The sequence below is a fragment of the Homo sapiens genome, chromosome 7 (assembly GCF_000001405.40).
Source record: "Homo sapiens chromosome 7, GRCh38.p14 Primary Assembly".
Lineage (NCBI taxonomy): Eukaryota > Metazoa > Chordata > Mammalia > Primates > Hominidae > Homo > Homo sapiens.
In genome coordinates, this window is record NC_000007.14 from 65,316,367 (window position 1) to 65,341,853 (window position 25,487).

The following is a 25,487-nucleotide window of genomic DNA, read 5'->3' on the forward strand; positions in this document are numbered from 1 at the left end:
TAAAACAGACAGAAAATTGGCCAAAATAGATGACAATTCTACAAACTTCAAGTCAAGTTTCCCTTGGACAGACTTAGAAAAGACAGACCTGGAAATACCCCAGCAGCATAGAGATGAGAATCCTGTGGCCCCCTCGTTACTCTAGGGCTGCTTAACTCCATCCTCTTCTGAGGCCTCATCCAGGTCTTGCCTCACCCTGGAATCTCCCCTTACAGACTGATTAAAGGAGATCAGAGTTTTGAGTGGCGGCTTCTGCTGCCTCTCTAGAGCTGCTGCTCACAATTTCCTGAAAGCTAAAAGCAGATAAATGAAAGAGAACTCTCTCTCTTTTTTTTTTTTTTAAATTAAAACAAGTATTTCTAGAGACATATGCCACCTAGCAACCCGTTCTCTATTCCTGGAGATCCAGTAGTTGCCATGCAAGTCACAAAAAAGTAAATATAAATATAACAATTCCTCTAAATTAAGCTTAACCATTCTTTTCTGTATCTCTCCTACTTGTCTAGTTAAAATTTTATTATATACATTTTCTTTTTAAAATCAGTGTTAGGGCCAGGTGTGGTGGCTCACGCCTGTAATCCCAGCACTTTGGGAGGTGGAGGCGGGTGGATCACGTGAGGTTAGGAGTTCGAGACCAGCCTGGCCAACATGGTGAAACCCCGTCTCTACTAAAAATACAAAAATCTGCCAGGTGTGGTGGCATGCGCCTGTAATCCCAGCTACTCAGGAGGCTGAGGCAGGAGAATCACCTGAACCGAGGAGGTGGAGGTTGCAGTGAGCCAAGATTGTGCCACTGCGCTCCAGCCTGGGTGACAGAGAGAGACTCTGTCTCAAAAAAATAAATAAAATAAAATAAAATTAATGTTAGGAAAACAGAAGAAGAAACAGAAATGCTGGGCTTTTTATCTAAATTCTGAGAATCATGGGACACTTAGTACCCACCTCCCATGGTATTATGAGGATTCACTCACATAATGTGAGGTTCCCAGCACTGTGCTCTGTAGCATACTGTTGAGCACACAGCATATTCTCAGTAAATACTGCACTGATGCATGTACATATGTTCTTTTCCAAATGCAGACTCACTCAGACATTGCTGCCTTCTCCAGCCTCTTTAAACTTTAAAGGCCAGCAGAGAATGCTATGTTTCAGGATGGTGATTGGTGGTTTTCACTTTGGACCATAAGCATCCGTATTGTGGTAAGAGTGTTGGGTTGAGTGACTCAGTGCTGTGCCTGCTTTCTCCACCTGAGTGCTACTGATGATGGGTCTGGGGGAGCAGCATGAGCATTAACAGGGGACTTACTAAAAATAGGAAGAATAGGAAGATACAGACAAATATTTCTTATTTGTCTCACGTGTATGAGGAATCTAAAAGGTTGAACTCCTAGACGCAGGGAGTACAAAGGTGGATACCAGAGCCAAGAGGTAGGGAAAATGGAAGATGTTGTTTAAAGGGTACAAACTTTTAGTTATAAATAAGGTTCGTGAATCTAATATATAGCATCATGATTATAGTAGATAATAATGTTTTTGTATACTTGATACAATAAAGGAAACTATGTAAGATGATACATGTATTCATTAACTTCATTGAATTAATTATTTCACAACTGGCAGGGCACAGTGGCTCACGCCTGTAATCCCAGCACTTTGGGAGGCTGAGGCAGGCAGATCACCTGAGGTCAGGAGTTCGAGACCAGCCTGGCCAACATGGTGAAACCCCATCTCTACGAAAACTACAAAAATCAGCCAGGTGTGGTGGTGGGCGCCTGTAATCCCAGCTACTCGGGAGGCTTAGGAAGGGAGAATTGCTTGAACCCAGGAGGCGGAGGTTGCAGTGAGCTGAGATGTGCCATTGCACTGCAGCCTGGGTGACAGAGCAAGATTTCGTCTCAAAAAAAAAAAAAAAACAGAAGATACAAAAAATTAGTGTGCCTTGTAATCCCAGCTACTGGGGAGGCTGAGGCAGAAGAATCGCTTGAACCCAGGAGGCAGAGGTTGCAGTGAGCCAAGATTGCGCCATTGCACTCCAGTTTGGGCAACAAGAGTGAAATTCTGTCTCAAAAAAAAATTATTTCACAATTTATATACATATTAAGTGCTCATTTAATATGGGCACAGGATGGGCATGGTGGCTTATGTCTATAATCCCAGCACTTTAGGGGGGCCAAGGTAGCCACATCACTTGAGATCAGGAGTTTGAGACCAGTGTGGGCAACATGACAAAATTCCATCTCTACAAAACTAAAAAAAAAATAAGCCAGGTGTGGTGGCTTGCACCTGTACTCCCAGCTATTTAGGAAGCTAAGGTGGGAGGATCAATTGAGCTTAGGGGATTAAGGTTGCAGTGAGGCATAATCACACCAGTGTATTCCAGCCTGGGTAACAGAGCCAGACTCAGTCTCAAAAAAATCATTATATTGTGTACAATAGTTATCCATTTTTTATTTGTGAAAAAATCTAAGTTGGCCGGGCACAGTGGCTCACGCCTGTAATCCCAGCACTTTGGGAGGCCAAGGCAGTCAGCAGTTCGAGACCAGCCTGGCCAACATGGTGAAACCCCGTATCTACTAAAAAATACAAAAATTAGCTGAGCGAGGCGGCAGGTGCCTGTAGTCCCAGCTACTCGGAAGGCTGAGGCAGGAGAACCACCTGAACCCGAGAGGCAGAGGTTGCAGTGAGCTGAGATTGTGCCATTGCACTCCAGCCTGGACAACAGAGCAAGACTCTGTCTAAAAGAAAAAAAAAGAAAAAGAAAAAAAAAAACAGAAAGAAAGAAAATAGAGAGTAAAAAGAACTGGCTCTGACGTATATGAGTGACTGGAGTTGTCCAGTAAAATAATTTTTAACACAGAAATACTCTCTAATTTATTCTCTAATGCTGAAGAAGAATGGCAAAACATCCACTAAACTAGAGTAGTGAGTATCCTTTTGTGGATGAGACAGCATAAAATTTAGCGCATTAACCCATGCATATATATTTTTTACTGATATATTTACATTATACAGGCTAAGTTATGAATTTTATTTTTAATGTTTTGAGACAGAGTCTCGCTCTGTCACTCTGGCTGGAGTGCAGTGATGAGATCTCGTCTTACTGCAACCTCTGCCTCCTGGGTTCAAGCAATTCTCCTGCCTCAGCCTCCTGAGTAGCTGGGACTACAGGCGCCCAACACCACACCTAGCTAATTTTTGTATTTTTAGTAGAGACAGGGTTTCACCATGTTGGCCAGGATGGTCTGGATTTCCTGACCTTGTGATCCACCCGCCTCGGCCTCCCAAAGTGTTGGGATTACAGGCGTGAGCCACCAAGCCTGGCTGAATATTTCTTATATGAAGAAGTTATGGTCGGTTAGAAGGTATGCCTCAAATTTTAATGTGTAAAACAATGAACTGGAGATCTTGTTAAAATGCAGGTTTTGATTCAGAAGATCTGGGCTCAAGCCTGAGTTTCTGAATTTCTAATAAGCTACCCAGTGATGCCGATGCTTTTGGCCCAAGGAGAATATCCTGTCAAATATTAAGTACATGGCAGAGCCTGGGTTTATCCCAGTACACAAAGGTGAGAACTTCCATTTTCTAAAGCAAGCCATAAGCAAGGAGAATTTGAAAAGAATTGGGAGACTCCAGATTACATGTGATGATTTATGAACATCAGTTGGTAAATCTCCTAAAGTTACTTATTAATAATAAAGAGAAAAATCATTAACTCTACAGTTAAAAAAATCTGTCAGCACCTTATCCAACAGAATAAAATTAACATGAACTGTAATAGAAAGAATTGGTATAAGTGCTAATGCACACAGAGGGCACAATATCACTGCTGTAATTTTTTTTTTTTTTTTGAGACGGAGCCTCATTCTGTCAACAGGCCAGAGTGCAGTGGCACAATCTTGGCTCACTGCAGCCTCCACCTTCCAGGTTCAAGTGATTCTCCTGCCTCAGCCTCCCGAGTAGCTGGGACTACAGGTGTGCACCACCACGCCCAGCTAATTTATATATTTTCAGTAGAGATGGGGTTTCACCATGTTGGCCAGGATGCTTTTGATCTCTTGACCTCGTGATCCACCCACCTCGGTCTCCCAAAGTGCTGGGATAACAGGCGTGAGCCACCGCACCCAGAGCTGTGATATTATTGAACACAAAGAAGTAAATTACAATCTGAATCTAATTATAGAGATACATTAGTTTTATTCAAAGATTAAGCTACAGAAATATCCCAGGTTCTGTAATCTTTAGTAAATGTAGTTAAATATTTTTTCTTTAGCATCATAAAAAGTAAGTGTCTTCTAAGTATTCTTTTGTTCAAAACTTTCGGAGAAATTCTGGGGAATTAATGCCATCCTCTTTCCGCATTTCCTTAATTCTGTTACGCATGGAGCAGATGGAAGCATCCAGATGGGACCTAAAGAGCATGTGTTCCCCTTCTTCACCAATATCTGAGGGCATGACCCTATCCCCAACAGAAATCTTGGGTGTTCATGCCTGCTCTTGTTGATCTGTCACAAAGGGAACCTTCTTTTGAGACAGGCTGTCACTCTGTCATGTAGGCTAGGTACATTGGCATGATCATGGCTCACTGCAGCCTCAGCATCCTGGGCCTAAGTGATTCTCCCAACTCAGTCTCCTAAGTAGCTGGGACCACAAATGTGTGACATCATGTCAGCTAATCTGTTTTATTTTTGTAGAGGCAGGGTTTCCCTATATTGCACAGGCTGGTCTCAAACTCCTTGACTCAAGAGATTCTCCCATCTCAGCTTCTCAAAGTGCTGGGGTTACAGGTGTGAGCCAGCATGGCTAGCCAAATGGAACACTTTTAATATTGCATGCAATACATTCATAGTGAGGTTTGGTCATGGTGTGTATAAAGCCTGAATGGAGAGAGTAGAGGGAAGGTTCTGGTATATAGAGGAGAGAAATTTTGCAGAGCTCTTTGACCACCACAGGAAGAAAAGGGGAAAATGTAGTTGAAAAAAAAAACACATAGGCAGGAATATCACAAGTAGAGAAGCAACGGTTTTTGAAGTTCTAAACATGTAACATTCCAGGAGGAAAAGTGGACACAGCCTCTGAACTGGGACACATTTACCCAAAACCCAGTCATTTTATTCTCTTTTTTACTTATTCTCTGAGATTCCTTGTCAGGCGAGATCCTCTGGAAAAAATAAAACTTGCTTCTTTTTTTTTTTTTTGAGACTGAGTCTCACTCTGTCATCCAGGCACCCAGTGGTGCGATCTCTGCTTACTGCAACCTCCGCCTCTCGGGTTCAAGTGATTCTCCTGCCTCAGCCTCCTGAGTAGCTGGGGTTACGGGTGCGCACCATCATGCGTGGCTAATTTTTGTATTTTCAGTAGAGGCTGGGTTTCACTGTGTTGGTCAGGCTGGTCTCAAACTCCTGACCTTGTGATCCGCCCACCTCAGCATCCCAAAGTGTTGGGATTACAGGAGTGAGCCACCATGCCCGGCCAAAACTTGCATCTTGAGAATATTCCTGTAAAGGCATCAACACAACCCCTTCACCTGCTACCACTGCACCCACAGGCAGAAGGATGTAGAAGTGCATAAAAAGTCACACTTCTCTGTCTTTTATCCCAGGAGAGAGTCAGGAACAGTGAGCTCCTACATAAAGATCAACATTTGTTTCTCCTTTCCCTCCTGCAAGTGCCTGTCTCTGCCAAAGATTTCAGTAATTTCTGCTGCAGCAATGGGAATAATGGCTGCACTGGCCTGCTTCTATCAAACCCAAGCAGAGCAGGGTCTGCAACTTCCCTTTGAAACAAGGGCTGACGGGAGGCGGAGGTTGCAGTGAGCCGAGATTGCGCCACTGCACTCCAGCCTGGGTGATGACAGCAAAACTCCATCTCAAAAAAAAATAGAAATAAGGGGCGAATTCAGTTCTCAAGAATGTCTCTAGGAGCCCTCAGGCATGATCCTGACCTCACATTAGAACCACAAGGGCACTTAATTAAAACAACATAGACGCTCCCATCCAGATCAACAGACATAATCTGTGAGGAGGCATGGGTGATGGGACTTTTTTAAAACTGGCTATGTAATCCTAATTAGAAGTCTGGGCTAAGAGCCACTTAGCTAAGCATTGCCTCTCAAGCTTCAATGTGCATATAAATCATTTGTTATTCTGGGGCCTACTCTAAGTGATGAGTAGGTGAGTCCATAAGTTAGCTTTTTTAGTATCGTCCTATTTCAATTAGCATATTTTTCTTCAGGTTTATCCATGTTGTCAGACTGACTAATACTTCATTGAGTATATATACAACATGTTTTGTTGATCCATTCAGCATTCAACAACATTTAGATTGTTTTTATATCTTGGCAATTTTGAATAATGCTGCAAGTAACATGGGGATCCAAATACTCAAGATACTAATTTTATTTCTATATATTATATATATACACAGAAGTGGGACTGATGTATTGTATGGTAGTTCTGTGGGGTTTTTTTCTAAATAATCTCCACACTGATTTTTATAATGACTACCAATTTATAACTCATTAACAGAGTACAGAATTTTTTTCACACCCTTTTCAAAACATTATATATTTTTTTTTTTGTATAAACTCTGGGAGCACAAGTGTAATTTTATTACATGAATAGATTGCAGTGGTGAAATTAGTGCTTTTAGGATATTCATTACCTGAGTAACATACATGTCTCATTTTTTTTATATTAGCCATCTTAACAAGTGTGAAGTGATAGCTCATCATGATTTTAATTTGCATTTGCCTGATGATTGGTCATGCTGAGCAGTTTTTCATATATCTGTTGGCCATTTCTATGTCTTTACTAAAAAAAATTATTCCTTTACCTATTTTTATTTTTTTATTTTTTGAGACAGAGTCTCACTCTCTTGCCCAGGCTGGAGTGCAGTGGCATGATCTTGGCTCACTGCAACCTCCGTCTCCCAGGTTCAAGTGATTCTCTTGCCTCAGACTCCCGAGTAGCTGAGATTACAGGCGTGCACCACCACATCCAGATAATTTTTGTATTTTTAGTAGAGACAGGGTTTTGCCATATTGGCCAGGCTGGTCGCTAACTCCTGACCTCAAGTGATCTGCCCACCTCAGCCTCCCAAAGTGCTGGGATTACAGGCATGAGCAATGGCGTGATCTCAGCTCAACTGCAACCGCCGCCTCCCGGGTTCAAGTGATTCTCCTGCCTCAGCCTCCTGACTAGCCGGGGTTACAGGCACGTGCCATCACGCCTGGCTAATTTTTGTATTTTTAGTAGAGATGGGGTTTCACCATATTGGTCAGGCTGGTCTCAAACTCCTGACCTCGTGATCTGCCTGCTTTGGCCTCCCAAAGTGCTGGGATTACATGCGTGAGCCACCGTGCCCGGCCTCCTTTACCTATTTTTAAATCGGGTTATTATTATTATATTTATTATTGTTGTTTTCACCTTTGATTTGTATGAGTTATTTATATATTTTGGATATTAACCACTTAACAGATATATGGTTTGCAATTATTATCTCCTATTTTGTGATTTTTCTTGTTGCATTCTGTTTAGAAACTTTTAAGTTTGATGTAGTCCAAGTTGTTTATATTTGCTCTTGTTTTTGTACTTTTGGTACCATTTCCCAAAAAATTACCATCAAGACCAATATAGAGGAGGTTTACCATATGTTTTCTTTTTGAATTTTAAAGGATTCATGTGTTTTATTTAAGTCTTTATTTTATATTGAGTTAATTTTTGGGTATAATTTAAGAAAAATGGTCTAATGTCATGCTTTTGCTTGCAGATATCCATTTATTTAGCACCAAATATTGAAGAGACTATGCTTTCTGCATTGTGCATTCTTAGTACCCTTATTGAAGATTAACTGACCTAATATAAATAGGTTTTTTTCTGGGTCCTCTACCATGTTCCATAGGTTCTTTTGTCCACTTTTATGTGCATGGCATCACGTTTTTATTACTGTAGTCTTGAAATATAGTTTGAAATCAAAACTATAATGCCCTCAACTGTTTTCTTCTTTCTCAAGATTGCTTTAGCTATTCAAAGTCTGTTAGAGTTTCATATAAATTTTAAGCTTATATTTTCTATCACTGTGAAATAGGTCACTAGAATTTTGATAGGAAATTCATTGAATCTATAGATTGCTTTGGATAACATGAAAACTTTAACAGTATGTATTCTTCCAATCTATAAATGTGGCACAATTTTACATTTGTGTGTTCTCCAATTTTTATTAATATCTTTTATTTTTCATCATAAAGGTCTTTTATCTGGTTTAATTTCTAAGAAATTTATTATTTTGATGCTTTTTTAATTTTTTTATTTATTTTTGGAGATGGAGTCTCGCTCTGTCACCCAGGCTGGAGTGCAGTGGTGTGATCTCGGCTCACTGCAACCTCCGCCTCCCAGGTTCAAGCAATTCTTCTGCCTCAGCCTCCCGAGTAGCTGGGACTACAGGTGCATGCTACCACGCATGGCTAATTTTTTTGTGTTTTAGTAGGGATGGGGTTTCACCATGTTGCCCAGGCTGGTCTCGAACTGCTGAGCTCAGGCAATCTGCCCACTTCAACATCCCAAAGTGCTAGGATTACAGGCATGAGCCACCACACCCAGCCTTGATACTATTTTAAATGAGATTATTTTTTTCTTTTTTATTGGATAGTTTGTTGTTAGTGTATGAAAACAATTGATATTTGTATGCCAATTTTATATTCTGCTAATTTACTGCATGCATTTATTATGTTAAACAGCTTTCTGGTGTACTATTTATTGTGTTGTTTTTTTTTTTGAGATGGAGTTTCGCTCGTGTTGCTCAGGCTGGAGTGTAATGGCGTGATCTTGGCTCCCGGCAACCTCTGCCTTCGGGGTTCAAGCGATTCTCCTACCTCAGCCTCTCAAGTAGCTGGGATTACAGGCATGCACCAATATGACCAGCTAATTTTGTATTTTTAGTAGAGATAGGGTTTCTCCATATTGGGCAGGCTGGTCTCGAACTCCCAAGCCCAGCTGATCCACCCGCCTCGGCCTCCCAAAGTACTGGGATTACAGGCGTGAGCCCACTGCGCCAGCTATTTATTGTTTTCTATATATAAGAGTATGTCATCTACAAACAGTGACATTTTTCTTTTTTTTTAATTTCAGATGGCTTTTTTCATTTTATTGCCACATTGTTATACCTAGGATTTTCAGTAATATGTTAAAATAGAAGTATTTGAATTAGACATAATGTAGTCTTCTTGTAAATCCTTTCTTATTTTGAGCAGACTTTGCTTTCAGAACTTTGTTTTGTGGGGCAGATACCAGGGCAGGGTTCTGCCGTTGGGTTCACATAAGGTAGGCCTGTTACAAGATGTGTAGATGAGTGTGGCTCCTTCTGAGTACCTGGGAGGGTTTCCTTGGGTCTCTGTGTAGGTTCCCAAGTAGGCAGGACTGTCCATGAACTGTGGCTAAGATGGCTACGACTGAGTCACAGACCTGCTTCAGAGGTCACAGTAAAGACTAAAGACCAAGTTCTGTAGGCCTGCCTCCATGACCATGACTGAGTGTCCTGAGGTCTCCGGGAAGGACTGCTTCTAGACCGTGGCTAGAAGGCATCGGAGATGATTACAGAGTCACTTCAGAATATTCAATGTGACTGAGTTGAGTGAGTCATTTTCTGGTCTGTAACCAAGATCAGGAGCCCTCAAGTTTGCCACCTGAATGAGGGCCTGCCTTCCCAATACAGCCCTCCTCAGTCTTGGGCTTTTGCAGGGCATCACAGTACTCTCCCTGGATCCCAAAAGTCTCATAAAGGCACTTTTGTCCATGGATGGCAGCAAAATTATTGTTGCTCTGGCAGGATAAACAAGAGTGACCCCCCTATTTCCACATTCCTGCTGATGTCACTCTCCCAATATGGTTTCACTTTCTATTTTTCTGTCTTTCAAATTTGTCTGTAATTTTAGATTCAAAGGTTCAAAACAATATACTGTAATTTACATGTTACGTAAGAAGTTAATTAGATACTAGGCACTCCTTATTTATTAAAATGTTCATTTGTAAGTTTTATAGTAGCCAGAAATACATCAAGATTTTCATTTTCTCAACCTATATCGAAATTATTATATAATTTATTCCAAAATTTTTATTTTATATATCAGTGACTCATGTTTTCAACATACACATTTTTACTTTATTTAGAAGTCTAAGGCTTTTTTTTTTTTTTTGCTTCTAAAGACTGGATTGCAGACTTTTAATTTTGTGTAAAGATAGCATCAGTATATTAATAGTAAGAAATTATCTTTACTGTCTTTAAATGCTTATTAAAATTTTCTTATTAGAGCATTTTCTTATTGACTGTAGTGCATTTTCTGTAAAATTTTACTGCCAAAGCAGGATTTAGACTATGATATAGCTGTTAAGTGCTGTTGTCATTTCCTGTGCTCAAAATAAAGTTGTTTCTTGACCGGGCATGGTGGCTCATGCCTGTATTCCCAGCACTTTGGGAGGCCGAGGCGGGTGGATCACCTGAGGTCAGGAGTTCAAGACCAGCCTGGCCAACTTGGTGAAACCCCCATCTCTACTAAAAATACAAAAATTAGCCGGGCATGGTGGTGGGCACCTGTAATCCCAGCTACGTGGGAGGCTGAGGCAGGAGAATCACTTGAACCTGGGAGGCGGAGGTTGCAGTGAGCTGAGATTGTGCCATGGCACTCCAGCCTGGGCGACAGAGTGAGACTCCATCTCAAAAAAAGATAAATAGGCCAGGTGCGGTGGCTCACGCTTGTTATCACAGCACTTTGGGAGGCCGAGGTGGGCAGATCAAGAGGTCAGGAGATCGAGACCATCCTGGCTAATACGGTGAAACCCCGTCTCTACTAAAAATACAAAAAATTAGCCGGGCGTGGTGGCGGACGCCTGTAGTCCCAGCTACTCTGGAGGCTGAGGCAGGAGAATGCCATGAACCCGGGAGGCAGAGCTTTCAGTGAGCCGAGATTGTACCACTGCACTCCAGCCTGGGCAACAGAGCAAGACTCTGTCTCAAAAAAAAAAAAAAAAGATAAATAAAATAAAATAAAGTTGTTTCTTAACTATACCTGTCTGCTATTCTCCTGTAGCAACCAGGGATGATTGGTTTCATACATGTTAAAATAAATAAATAAATCAAGAATAAAAGGGACCAGGTGCGGTGGCTATCATGCCTGTAATCCCAGCAAATTGGGAGGCCGAGGCAGGTGGATCACTTGAGGTCAGGAGTTTGAGACCAGCCTAGTCAGCATGGTAAAAGCACATCTCTACTAAAAATACAAAAATTGGCCAGGCGTGGTGGCACGCACCTGTAATCCCAGCTACTTGGGAGGCTGCGGCAGGAGTATGGCTTGAAACCAGGAGGCGGCAGTTGCAGTGAGCTGAGATCCTGCCCCTGCACTCCAGCCTGGGTGACAGAGTAAGACTCTGTCTCACAAAAAAAGTATAAAAAAGAAAAAAAATTACTGCCATATGGTAGACACCAATTATTGCAAATGTGTCCACTCCAGAAGTGCACAAGCACATTTGAACACTGTAGTTATCTAGCAAAATTATTTCTTAATAGTACATCAATGTAGCCTACAGAATTTTATGGGTAAATGTTTCTCTTATTTTTGTTGTACAATTCATATTACTGGGTTTCTCTTTTAGGGTAGATTCCTTGACATCAGTTTATTGTGTTTTTGGTTTTACTTATGCATTATAGCTTTGGATGACAATTTGCAACTCTATATATGCACTTTAAGTTAATGTGGGGCTTAATTAGAAAATGAATCCACCAGATGGCTGTCATTCTTAAATTACACATATGAATGTGCATGTTGTCTATAAATATGACCCCAACTTTGTTCATAGCTTATCTTATATATTTTTTCTTGGCTGATCTTTTATGTTTTTTTATCTTGTCTAGGTGAGTAGTCAGGAAAATAATCTTAGTTTTACTGTGTGTTTGTTGATGAATTTGTATTTTCTCTATGTGAAACAATTTTGTGATTTGAAGGTAATTTTTGGATAGCTTTATAACTCTGATTTTTTTAGTTATCCTTTAAGAAAAATATTGTGGTAAAGAACATAACATCGAATTTACCATCTTAAATCTTTTTTTTTTTTTTTTTTTTTGAAACAGAGTCTTGCTCTGTCGCCCAGGCTGGAGTGCAGTGGTGCAATTTTGGCTCACTGCAACCTCCACCTCCTGGGTTCAAGCAATTCTCCTGCCGCAGCCTCCTCAGTAGCTGAGATTACAGCATGCACCACCATGCCCAGCTAATTTTTTTGTATTTTTAGTAGAGACAGGGTTTCACCATGTTGGTCAGTCTGGTCTCGAACTCCCCACCTCAGGCGATCCAACTGCCTCGGCCTCAATCTTTTTAAGTGTATGTTTCAGTTGTGTTATGTATAGTCACATTTTAATGCAAAAGACCTCTAGAATGTTTACATCTTGCAACACTAAAACTCAATACCCCTTATATAACAACTGCCTATTTCACCTTCTCTCTACCCCTTGACTAATGCCATTCTACTTTATGTTTCTATTTGACTACTTAAGATATTTCATAAAAATGAAATCATACGCTATCTGTCACTTTGTTACTGGCTTATTTCAGTTTACATTCTCAAGATTTATTCTTAGAGAATGTGACCAAATTTCCTTTTTAAAGGCTGAATAACGCTATTGTGTGTATATGTGTGTGTATACATATGTTGTGTGTATATATATATACCCACTATAGTGCACATATATGTGTGTATATATATTTGGCATATATATAGATAGATAGATAGATATACACCACATTTTTTTAATTGCTCATTAGGGACATCTGGGTTGCTTCTACCTTTTGGATTTTGTAAACATTGCTATAATAAACAAATATTGTGTGTGTGCAGATATGTCTTCCAGGTTATGTGTCTTATATTTTGTGTGTATACTTAGATGTGGAATTGCTGGATACTATGACAATTCCATTTTTAATTTTTTGAAAAACTTCCATATTGTTTTTTATACTGGCAGAGTCATATTTCCCCAGCAGCAGTTTACAAATTTTCTCTCTCAAGTCTCCACATTCTTGACAGATTTTTTTTGTAGTCATTATTCTAATTGGTGTGAGATAATATCTCATCGTATTCTGCTTTGCATTTTTGTAAATCATCCTTTCAAATGCTTATTGGCCATTTGTATATTTTTCGAGAAATATCAGTTCAATTTTGTTCTCATTTTTAATTTTGTTCTTCACTTTTTTGTTGTTGAGTTTTAGGAACTGTTTATATGTTCTTGATACTAACACCAATCAAATATGTGATTTGCAAATATTTTTACCTTTTTCTACTTCACCATTTCCTTTGACCTTTAGAAATTTGGAATTTGATATACTCCCATTTTTCCGTTCTTTGTTATTTATACATTTAATTCCATACATAAGAAAGTGCCAAGACTGATGTCATTATATTTTCTCCTATACTTTTTCTAAGAATTTCATTAGTTATGTTTTTTACGTTTAGTTAATCCCTTTAAAAGATTGTTTTGTATCTGGAGAAAGGAAAGGATCCAACTTTGTGGTGTTTTTAATGAAGATATTCAGTTTTCAATATTATTTGTTAAAGACATTCTTCTTTCCCCACTGGATGATCATGGCTACATTGTGGAAGTTCATTTAATCATATGTAAAAGGGTTTGCCTCTGGGCTTTCTGTTCTGTTCCCTTATATAATTATCTGTCTTTATGTCAGTACTACATTGTTTTTATATCTGTAGCTTTGTTATATGTTTTGAAATCAGGAAGTGTAATGCCTCTTTGTTCTTGTTTTTTGGGAATGCGTGCCTAGTCATTGTCCCTAACAGAAATTTTAGGATTCTGAAAATACTTCTGCAAAAAAGTACCATTGGGGTTTTGATATATATAAAATTGAAGTTGTACATAACTCTTGGTAGTATTAAAGTCTTAAAAATATTAAATTATTTTACCCTTGAACAAAAATATGTTCAAGCATGTGTTTAAATAATTCCAAGTAATTTGGGATTTGCCACTTTTTCTTCTTTTAATGTCTAGTTTCATTTTATTTTGGTCAGAGAAGATATATTTCATGATTTCAATCTTTTACAATTTTGTATGTCTTATTATGTATCCTAACAGAATTTGCCATGTGCAATTGAGAATATTGTGTATTCTGCCAGTTTTGACTGAAGAGTTTTGTACATGTTTATTAGGTCTATTTGCCTATAATGTTCAAGTTTTCTGTTTTTTTAATTGACCTTATATTTGATTTTTCTATTCATTATTGAAAGTGGGGTCTGGTCTAGAAGTACACAATTATTGTGTTGCTATGTATTTCTTGCTTCATTTCTGTCAATATTTGGTGTAATATACACACAAAAATATGTAAATTTATATAACTGTTACAGATTCCTGGTAAATAGATTTTTTTTATTTTTTAATTTTGTGGGTACATATTAAGTGTATATATTAATGTGTTTCTTGAGTTTTTTTTTTTACAGGCCTAAAGTGTTTAATAATGACACCAGGGTAAATGAGGTATACATCACCTCCAGCATGTACTATTTTTTTGTATCATGAATATTCCAATTATACTTTTTTAGTTATTTTGAAATGTACAATAAGTTATTACTTACTGTAGTCACACTGTTGTGCTATCAAATACTAGATCTTATTCATTCTAATTACAATTTTGTACTCATTAATCATCCCTCCTCACTACCCTTCTCTGCCTCTGATAACTATAATCTACTCTTCATCTTCATGAGTTCAGTTGTTTTAATTCTTAGATCCCACAAATAAGTGAGAACATGCAGTTTTTGTCTTCCTGTACCTGGCTTATTTTACTTAATATAATATCTTCCAATTCCATCCACTTTGTTGCAAATGACAGAATCTCATTTTTTATGGCTAAGTTGTACTTATTGTGTGTACACAATAATATTGTGTGTACACAATAATATTGTGTGTGTGTATGTAGTACATTTTCTTTATTCATTTCTCTGTTGATGCATACTTAAGTGGATCCCAAAACTTTGCTATTGGTAATAGTGCTGCAATAAACATGGGAGGCCAGATATCTATTCAATATACTAATTATTTTTATTTTTTAGTATGTATACCTAGAAGTGTGAATGCTGGATCATATGGTAGTCCTATTTTTAGTTCTTTAAGGAACCTCCATACTGTACTTCATAGTCACTGTATTAATTTATATTCCCAGAAACAGTGTATGAGAGTTCACTTTTCTTCACACTTTCAGCAACATGTATTATTGCCTGTCTTTTGGGGAAAAGTCATTTTAGCTGGAGTGAGATGATATCTCATTGTAGTTTTGATTTGCATTTCCCTGACAATCAGTGATACTGAGCACCTTTTTATATACCTGTTTGTCATTTATATGTCTTCTTTTGAGAAACAATTATTTTATCCAATCTTAATGGAATTAATGCATTTTTTTCATAGCATTTTTAAGTACCTTATATATTCCTGTTATTAGTCTCTAGTCATATAGATACTATGCAAATAGTTTTCCCATACTGTGGGTGGTCTCTTCACTTTGTTGATTGTTTTTTTTTGCAGTGCAGAAGCTTTTTAACTTGCTGTAATCCTGTTTGTTCCTTTTTTTTTTTTTTTGAGACAGAATTTTGCTCTTGTTTCCCAGGCTGGAGTGCAATGGCACAATCTCAGCTCACCACAACCTCTGCCTCCCGGGTTCAAGTGATTCTCCTTCCTCAGCCTCCCATGTAGCTGGGATTACAGGCATGTGCCACCATGCCCAGTTAATTTTTTTATTTTTAGCAGAGATGGGGTTTTACCATGTTGGCCAGGCTGGTCTTGAACTCCTGACCTCAGGTGATCCACCCACCTCAGCCTCCCAAAGTACTAGGATTAAAGGCATGAACCAGCACGCCCAGCCCTGTTTGTTCATTTTTGCTTAGTTGCCTGTACTTGTGAGGTACTACTCAAGAAATTTTTGCTCAGTCCAGTGTCCTGGAGAGGTTCCCCAGTTTTCTGGGATTTTTTAGTAGCTTCATAGTTTCACATCTTAGATGTAAGTCTTTAGCCCATTTTGCTTTTATTTTTGTATATGCTAAGAAATAGAGATCTAGTTTTATTTTTCTGCATATGGATATTTAGTTTCCTCAGCATAATTTATTGACAAGACTGTCCCTTTTTGCCAATGTATGTTCTTGGCACCTTTGTTGAAAATAGGTTCACTGTAGATATACAAATTTTTTTCTGAGTTCTCTATTCTGTTCTATTGGTCTATGTGTCTGATTTTATACCAGAACCATGCTGTTTGGGTTACTATAGTTCTGTAGTATAATTTGAAGTCAGGTAATGTAATTTCTGATTTTGTCCTTTTGCTCATGATGGCTTTAGCTGTTCTGGGTCTATTGTTGTTCAATATAAATTTTGGAATCTTTTTTTCTATTTCTGTGAAAAATGTCATGGTATTTTGATACGAATTGCATCAAATCTCTAGACTGCTTTGGGTAATGGGAACATTTTAACAGTATTGCTTCTTCCAGTCCATAAAAATAGAATATCTTTCCATTCTTCTGTTTTATAGTTTTCATTATAGAGATCTTCTTGTTTCTTTGGTTTAGTTTATTCTTGGGCATTTCTTTCTATTTGTTGCTATTGTAAATGGGATGACATGCTTGATTTCTTTTTCAGATTGTTCACTGTTGGCATTTAGAAATGCTACTCATTGTTTTTGAGATGGAGTTTTTTTTATTATTATTATTGTTATTTTGAGATGGAGTTTTGCTCTGTCACACAGGCTGGAGTGCAGTGGTGCGATCTCAGCTCACTGCAGCCTCTGCCTCTTGTGTTCAAGCAATTCTTCTTCCTCAGCCTCCCAAGTAGCTGAGATTATAGGTGTCTGCCACCACACCCAGCTAGTTTTTGAATTTTTCGTAGAGGTGGGGTTTTGCCATATTGGCGAGGCTGGTCTCGAACTCCAACCTCAAGTGATCCGCCCCCTTTGGCCTCCCAAAGTGCTGGGATTACAGACTTGAGTCACCGTGCCTAGCCACAATGCTACTACATTTTGTATGTTGATTTTGTGTGCTGCAGTTTTACTAAATTTTTTTATTAGTTCTAATAGTTTGTTTTGATGGAGACTAGGTTTTCCAAATATAAGATTATATCACCTGCACGCAATATTACTTTGACTTCTTTCTTCCTTATTTGAATGCCCTTTCTTTCTCTTGTGCGATTGCTGTAGCTACAACTTCCCTGACTATGTTGAATTAGAGTGGTAAAAGTAAGCATCTTTCTTTTGTTCCAAATCTTAGAGGAAAGACTTTCAGTTTCTCCCCACTTAATGTAATTGAGACGTGGTTCTATCATATATGGCTTTTGTCATGGTGAAGTGTGTTCTTTCTATACCCAGTGTTTTTAGGGTTTTCTTATGAACCAATGTTAAATTTTATGACGTGTATTTTAAGCATTACTTAAAATGTTCATAAGGATTTGTCTTTGGTTATGTTCATATAATGTATCACATTGATTGATTTGTGTATGTTGAACCATCTTTTTATCCCTCGAATAAATTCCAATTGGTCATGATGAATGATCTTTTTATTTATTTGTTTATTTTTATTTTTTTTTACTTTAAAAGTGGTTTTATTTTATGTGCAAATAATGAACAGATATTGTACCCATAAATTCTACTTTACAAAAACAGGAGTTTTTTTTTAAAAAGAAAACCAGATAATAACTTTTAGAAGGCACTGGGATTCCTCTGCTTCTAGATCATTGCTAGACTAGAAAAATAAAGTTTGTTCTGCCAGGAATCACAAGTTAGAACTGAGTATCCTCCAAAGTGGAAAGTCTAGAGTGTAGTGCCATTTATTCAGTTCTCATCCCCAACTTCCACAACTACCTATCAGAACGGTTAAATCAGGTCAAAACAGTCCAGCATAATTAGACTTCATCAAACAATGCCGTTATGCTTTTCTAAGATGCAAATAAACCAGAACAGGATATACTAAAATCAAAATAATATTTGACACTGTCATACAAATTGTTAGTTCCTTATCCGCCCCCCACTTTTTTTTTTTTTTTTTTTGAGACAAAGTCTCACTCTGTTGCCCTGGCTGGAGTGCAATGGGGTGATCTCGGGTAACTGCGACATCCGCCTCCTGGGTTCAAGAGATTCTCCTGCCTCAGCCTCCAGAGTAGCTGGGATTACAGGTGCCCACCACTGCGCCTGGCTAATTTTTTGTATTTTTAGTAGAGACGGGGTTTTACCATGTTGGCCAGGCTGATTTCGAACTCCTGCTCAGGTGATCTGCCCGCCTCTGTCTCCCAAAGTGCTGGGATTACAGGTGTGAGCCACAGTGCCCAGCCATATCCCCCCTTTTATAACATTAATAAAGGGAATATTTTACTGCAAAGAATATTTTATTTTATACATCGCTAGCCATGAATTTTTGCCATTAGTTATTACACAAATGCCACCTAGTGCCACTGTCCAAATGGCAGAACTATTTTACGTCTACAATTCACTTCTATAGTTGTAAGTAGAATTTTCATGGTTTACATAAATACATCTATCAGTGAAGATTTAACACTGGAATGCAATCTAACATCCGTAATATCTGATGTTTTGTAGATAGCAATGTAGGAAAGATATATTTTAATCACTTTTCATTTAAGTGACCTTATGTAAAAAATAAACCAATTTAAGTGACCTTATGTAAGTGACCTTATTTAAGTGATCTTATGTAAAAAAGAAACCATTTAAGTGACCTTATGTAAAAAATAAACCAATATCCATTTTCAAATGTATATAAATGGTTACAGAGATTTTTAAGAAGCATCTTTCATGTCCACATCCTCTTGTAACTGCTGTACCATTTTCTCTTCCAGCTGCTTCCCTTTGCCTGCAAGCCTCAGATAAGATGGATGTTTTGATTGACTTCTTTGATGTCCTGAACTTTCTGTAGCTCTTTCTTTTTCTTCAATCTGTTCATTATAAATTTAGCTTAGTGTTTCTGTTTGATCATCTCTTTAACTCACTTTATTGCATCAATAGTTGTATTCCATAGCTCTCGCTGGTATTTGATAGGTTCATTTCTACGTTTTTCAAATTCAAATTAACTATCCACTGTAAGCTCTTTACCAGCTGCTTTCTGAGTGGAATGCTTTGGTCCACCTAATTTTGCGAGGATTGCACTTCTTTTTAAAGTTTTTATGACATTTAGATTTACGAAATCTGAACACCTTGCAATCATTGCGGATGAACATCATGCCATGGCCAGGGTAGGTGGGCCCCAAACAGAAATAACATATCTCGACATGCATGTCGAACCCGCGGGTCCCTACCGACCGAATGCCAAGCTTGAGAGGAAGTTGAATGATGTTTTTAATGTGTTGTTGAATTTGGTTTTCTAGTATTCTCTTAAGGATTTTTACAATGATGTTTATCAGAGATATTGGCCTCAGAGATATGTCAGTTTTCCCTGCTCTTGCACAGCCTTTCTCACCTGTCACTATGTAAGATGTGCCTGCTTCCTTTTCTGCTGTGATTGTAAGTTTCATGAGGCCTTCCCGGCCATGCTGAACTACGAGTCAATTAAACCTCCTTTGTTTATAAATTTCCCAGTCTTGGCCGGGCGCGGTGCCTCACACCTGTAATCCTAGCACTTTTAGGAGGCTGAGGTGGATGTATTACCTGAAGTCAGAAGTTTGAGTCCAGCCTGGCCGACATGGCGAAATCCCATCTCTACTAAAAATACAAAAATTAGTCAGTCATGGTAGCGGGTGCCTGTAATCCCAGCTACTCAGGAGGCTGAGACAGGAGAATCACTTGAACCTGGGCGGTGGAGGTTGCAGTAAGCCAAGATTACACCACTTCACCCCAGCGTGGGCTAAAGAGTGAAACTCCGTCTCAAGAAAAAAAAAAATTACCCAGTCTCGGGTAGTATGTTTTTTGTTTGTTTGCTTTGTTTTTGAGATAGGGCCTTGCTCTGTCACCCTGGATGGAGGGCAGTGGCATGATCTTGGCTCACTGCAACCTCTGCCTCCCAGGTTCAAGTGATTCTCCTGCCTCAGTCTCCTGAGTAGCTGGGACTACAGGTGTATGCCGCCATGCCCATCTAATTTTTGTATTTTTAGTAGAGACAGGGTTTTGTCGTGTTGGCCAGGCTGGTCTCGAACTTCTGACCTCGGGTGATCCACCTGCCTGACCCTCCCAAAGTGCTGGGATTACAGGCATGAGCTACTGTGCCTGGCCTCAGGTAGTATCTTTATAGCAGTGTGAAAATGAACTAATACAGGAAATTGGTACTGCATAGAGTAGGGTACTGCTATAAGGATACTTGAAAATGTTGAGATGACTATGGAACTGGGTAGTGGGCAGAGGTTGTAGGAATTTGGAGAGCTCAGAAGAAGACAGGAAGATGTGGGACAGTTTGGAGCTTCCTAGAGACTTGTTGAATGATTTTGACCAAAATGCTGATAGTGATGTAAACAATGAAGTCCAGGCTGAGGTGGTCTCAGATGGAGATGAGGAACTTATTGGGACCTAGAGTAAAGATCACTCCTGCTATGTTTTAGCAAAGAGGCTGGTGGTATTTTGCCCCTGCCCTAGAGATGGTGTGAAACTTCGAACTTCAGAGAGATGATTTAGGATATCTGGTGGGAGACATTTCTAAGCATCAAAGCATTCAAGATGTGACCTGGGTTATTCTGAAAGCATTCAGTTTTATGCATTCACAAGGAGCTCATTTAAAATCGGAACTTCCCAGCACTTTGAGAGGCTGAGGCAGGCGGATCACCTGAGGTCAGGAGTTCGAGACCAGCCTGGCCAACTTGGCGAAACTCCGTCTCCACTAAAAATACAAAAATTGGCCTGGGCACAATGGCTCACGCCTGTAATCCCAGCACTTTGGGAGGCCAAGGCAAGCGGATCACAAGGTCAGGAGATTGAGATTATCCTGGCTAACACTGTGAAACCCCATCTCTACTAAAAATACAAAAAAAATTAGCTGGATGTGGTGGCGAGCGCCTGTAGTCCCAGCTACTCGGGAGGCTGAGGCAGGAGAATGGCGTGAACCCGGGAGGTGGAGCTTGCAGTGAGCTGAGATTGTGCCACTGCACCATCCAGCCTGGGCAGCAGTGCGAGACTCCGTCTCAAAAAAAAAAAAAAAAAAAAGAAAAACAAAAATTAGCTAAGCGTGGTGGTGGGCGCTTGTAGTCCCAGCTACTCAGGAGGCTGAGGCAGGAGAATTGCTTGAACCCAGGAGGTGGAGGTTGCAGTGAGCCGAGATGGCGGAAATGCCTAGCTGTCTAGGCAGAAGTTCACTGCAGAGGTGGACCCCTCATAGCAAACCTCTGCTAGGGCAGTGTGGAAGGGAAGTTTGGGGTTGGAGCCCTCATGCAGAGTCAGCACTGGAGTACTGCCTAGTGGAGCTGTGAAAAGAGGGTCACCATCCTCCAGACCCTAGAATGCTAGATCCACCAACAGCTTGCACCACGCACCTCAAAAAGCCAAAGACACTTAATGCCAGCCTGTGAAAGTAGCCAGGGGGCAAGGGCTGTACCCTGCGAAACCACAGGAGTGAAGCTCGCCAAGGCTGTGGGAGCCCATCTCTTCTTTCCTCAGTGTGACCTGGATGTGAGACACGAAGTCAAAGGAGATTATTTCAGTGCTTTAAGATTTAATGACTGCCCCACTGGATTTCAGACTTAAGTGTGGCCCGTAGCCCCTTTGTTTTAGCCAATTTCTCCCATTTGGAATGGGAGCATTTATCCAGTGCCTGTACCTCCATTGTATCTTGGAAGTAACTAACTGGCTTTTAATTTTACAGGCTGCTGGGCAGAAAAGACTTTCCTTTTCTCGAATGAGACTTTGGACTTGGACTTTTGGGTTAATGCTGGAATAAATTAAGACTTTGGGGAACTGTTGTGAAGGCATGATTTGTTTTAAAATGTCAAAGAGATATGAGATTTGGGAGAGGCCAGGAGTGGAAGGATATAGTTAGGCTTTGCATCCCCACTCATATCTCATCTTGAATTGTAATCCCCAGGTGTTTACGAAGAGACCTTGTGGGAAGTGATTTGATTATGGGGTGGTTTCCCCCATGCTGTTCCTGTGATAGTGAGTGAATGCTCATGAGACCTGATGGTCTTATAAGGCAGTTTTCCCTGTTCTTCCATGCTCTAGCTCACCTGCTGCTGTGTAAGACATGCCTACTTCTGCTTTCACCATGATTACAAGTTTCCTGAGACCTCCCCAGCCATGCAGAACCGTAAGTCAATTAAACCTCCTTTGTTTACAAATTACCCAGTCTTGGTTAGTATTTTTATAACATTGTGGGAATGGACTAATACTGTCTGTTTTGTTAAAAGACTAAGTTTCAATTGGGAGCCAAGATGACTGACTAGACACAGCCAGGGGAAACAACTGACAAGACACTGAGACATTGAAATTTCCATCCCATTCTGAGCCTATCTTCAGATGAAATGCATTGCAAGTGGGCAGAGGGAGGACACAGATGCTGGAAACCCTTCATGGTGTACCAAGTACTAGGAACTTAAGTCCACTTTTTCTGAGCCCTGCAAAACATCAGAACTTGCTCAGGGATTGCCATCATTGTGATCTAGACTGCCGGGGTTTTTTGTGATTTTTTTTTTTTTTTTTTGAGACGGAGTCTTACTCTGTCACCCAGGCTGGAGTGCAGTGGCGTGATCTCAGCTCACTGCAACCTCCGCCTCCTGGGTTCAAGTAATTCTCCTGCCTCAACCTCCTGAGTAGCTGGAATTACAGGCATGTGCCAGCACGTCCGGCTCACTTTTGTATTTTTAGTAGAGATGGGGTTTCACCATGTTGGTCAGGCTGGTCTCGAACTCCTGAACTCGTGATCCACCCGCCTTGGCCTCCTAAACTGCTGGGATTACAGGCTTGAGCCACCGTGCCCCGCCTAGACTGCCTTTTATATTTACTTAAAATTCCAGAGCACTTTAGCCTGAGGGGCTAGCCACAACTCAGGTACCAAGTGCTGGGATAAATAATTTTCTTCTGTCTGGGGCTGATCAAAGTGCTCCCGCCATGGGCAATGGCCAAATTCTGCCTTGGATTACTTCCTACTAAAACAGGGCAGCACTGAGTTCCAATGCAAAGTTCAACAATCCCTTGCTGTCCTTCCCCTAAGCACACAAATTCTCTCTTTGTGCCACATATTTACTGCTGGGAAATGAGGGATAAGTGGTGTAGGAAATTCTAGACTGTCTTTCCTACCCTCTTCAGTACCTCTATTTTGTTAAAACTGGGTACTGTAATTACTCACCTAATTTTTGGTTGTTGTGAAGGTGCTTTCTTGTGTGAATAGTTGTTCAATTTGGTGTTCCTATATGGGATGATTGCTAGAGGGTTCTAATCAGCCATCTTGCTCCACCTCTGTCTCTCTTCCTTTTTACCATTATGAAATGACAATCTTAGTCTCCTGTGACAGTTGTTTACTTAATGTGTATTTTGTCTAATATAATTAAGACTACTTTACCAAATTGTGGTTATTATTTGCATGGAATATGTTTTTCCATCCTGATACTTTCGGCCTATTTAACTCCTTAGAGCTAATGTGACCCTATTGTGGAAAGCATATTGTAACATCTTTTTTTTTTTTTTTTTTTTTGAGATGGAGTCTCGCTCTGTCACCCAGGCTGTAGTGCAGAAAATATTTCTTTATTTGTTTGTTTGTTTATTTATTTATTTATTTATTTATTTATTATACTTTAAGTTTTAGGGTACATGTGCACATTGTGCAGGTTAGTTACATATGTATACATGTGCTGTGCTGGTGCGCTGCACCCACTAACTCGTCATCTAGCATTAGGTATATCTCCCAATGCTATCCCTCCCCCCTCCCCCCACCCCACAACAGTCCCCAGAGTGTGATATTCCCCTTCCTGTGTCCATGTGATCTCATTGTTCAATTCCCACCTATGAGTGAGAATATGCGGTGTTTGGTTTTTTGTTCTTGTGATAGTTTACTGAGAATGATGATTTCCAATTTCATCCATGTCCCTACAAAGGACGTGAACTCATCATTTTTTTATGGCTGCATAGTATTCCATGGTGTATATGTGCCACATTTTCTTAATCCACTCTATCATTGATGGACATTTGGGTTGGTTCCAAGTCTTTGCTATTGTGAATAATGCCGCAATAAACATATGTGTGCATGTGTCTTTATAGCAGCATGATTTATAGTCATTTGGGTATCCTAAAACCATAAAAACCCTAGAAGAAAACCTAGGCATTACCATTCAGGACATAGGCATGGGCAAGGACTTCATGTCTAAAACACCAAAAGCAATGGCAACAAAAGACAAAATTGACAAATGGGATCTAATTAAAATAAAGAGCTTCTGCACAGCAAAAGAAACTACCATCAGAGTGAACAGGCAACCTACAAAATGGGAGAAAATTTTCGCAACCTACTCATCTGACAAAGGGCTAATATCCAGAATCTACAACGAACTCAAACAAATTTACAAGAAAAAAACAAACAACCCCATCAAAAAGTGGGCGAAGGACATGAACAGACACTTCTCAAAAGAAGACATTTATGCAGCCAAAAAACACATGAAAAAATGCTCATCATCACTGGCCATCAGAGAAATGCAAATCAAAACCACTATGAGATACCATCTCACACCAGTTAGAATGGCAATCATTAAAAAGTCAGGAAACAACAGGTGCTGGAGAGGATGTGGAGAAACAGGAACACTTTTACACTGTTGGTGGGACTGTAAACTAGTTCAACCATTGTGGAAGTCAGTGTGGCGATTCCTCAGGGATCTAGAACTAGAAATACCATTTGACCCAGCCATCCCATTACTGGGTGTAACATCTTGTTTGTTGTGAATTCCTTTAGCTATTGTATTTCTTTTCATTAAAGATTTTAGTCCATTTATATGTAACATAATCTCTAATGGAAAAGTTACTATTACCATTTGGTTTGTATTTTCTTTCTGTGTTTCCTGTGGATATGTTTTTCTTCATTTGCTCTGTGTCTTCATTTTTTTTGGCGATTTTGTAGTGACATGCTTTAATTCCTTTCTCATATTTTTGATATACTTTCTATAAGATTTTTATGATCATCTTAAGAAATGCAAAGTATATAAAACATTAAATTTATAACTATATTCTAATAAAGTTACTTCAATTAAATCATAACTATACATCTTTACATCTGCCATTTTATTATTAATGTCACAAATATTTTATTTCTTATCAACAAAGATTTATGCTTTTTTTATTTTTTCAAATTCTGTAACATTTTAAAAACTTTATGCACCATTATTATAATAGTAGCAAATTTTTTATCTGTCTAAATATTTCCCTTAAAAAAGAGTGTTATATTTTCCTATGGTTTTATGACACTGTCCTGCATTATTTCACTTTTCAACATATTTGACTCCCTTTAACATGTCTTCTAGTACTGTACTAGTTGCGAGGAGCACACTCAGATTTTGTTTATCTT

At 39.4% G+C, this 25,487-nt stretch overlaps 1 long non-coding RNA gene and 1 pseudogene across 5 annotated transcripts in view; one reads left to right on the top strand and one right to left on the bottom strand.

The window, feature by feature from the left end:
- Positions 1-25,487, top strand: part of LOC105375334 (uncharacterized) — an 82,449-nt gene that overhangs the window by 46,993 nt on the left and 9,969 nt on the right. For 2 of the 5 annotated variants that reach the window (XR_001744938.2, XR_927613.3), the window contains 2 exons: positions 1,081-1,200; positions 22,166-22,250. This is a non-coding gene — a long non-coding RNA (uncharacterized LOC105375334). Of the gene's footprint in view, positions 1-1,080; positions 1,573-22,165; positions 25,181-25,487 lie in introns of those variants that run through there. The other 3 variants (XR_007060361.1, XR_001744935.2, XR_007060360.1) reach the window with 3 other exon arrangements.
- Positions 18,636-19,351, bottom strand: RSL24D1P3 (ribosomal L24 domain containing 1 pseudogene 3; annotated as a pseudogene).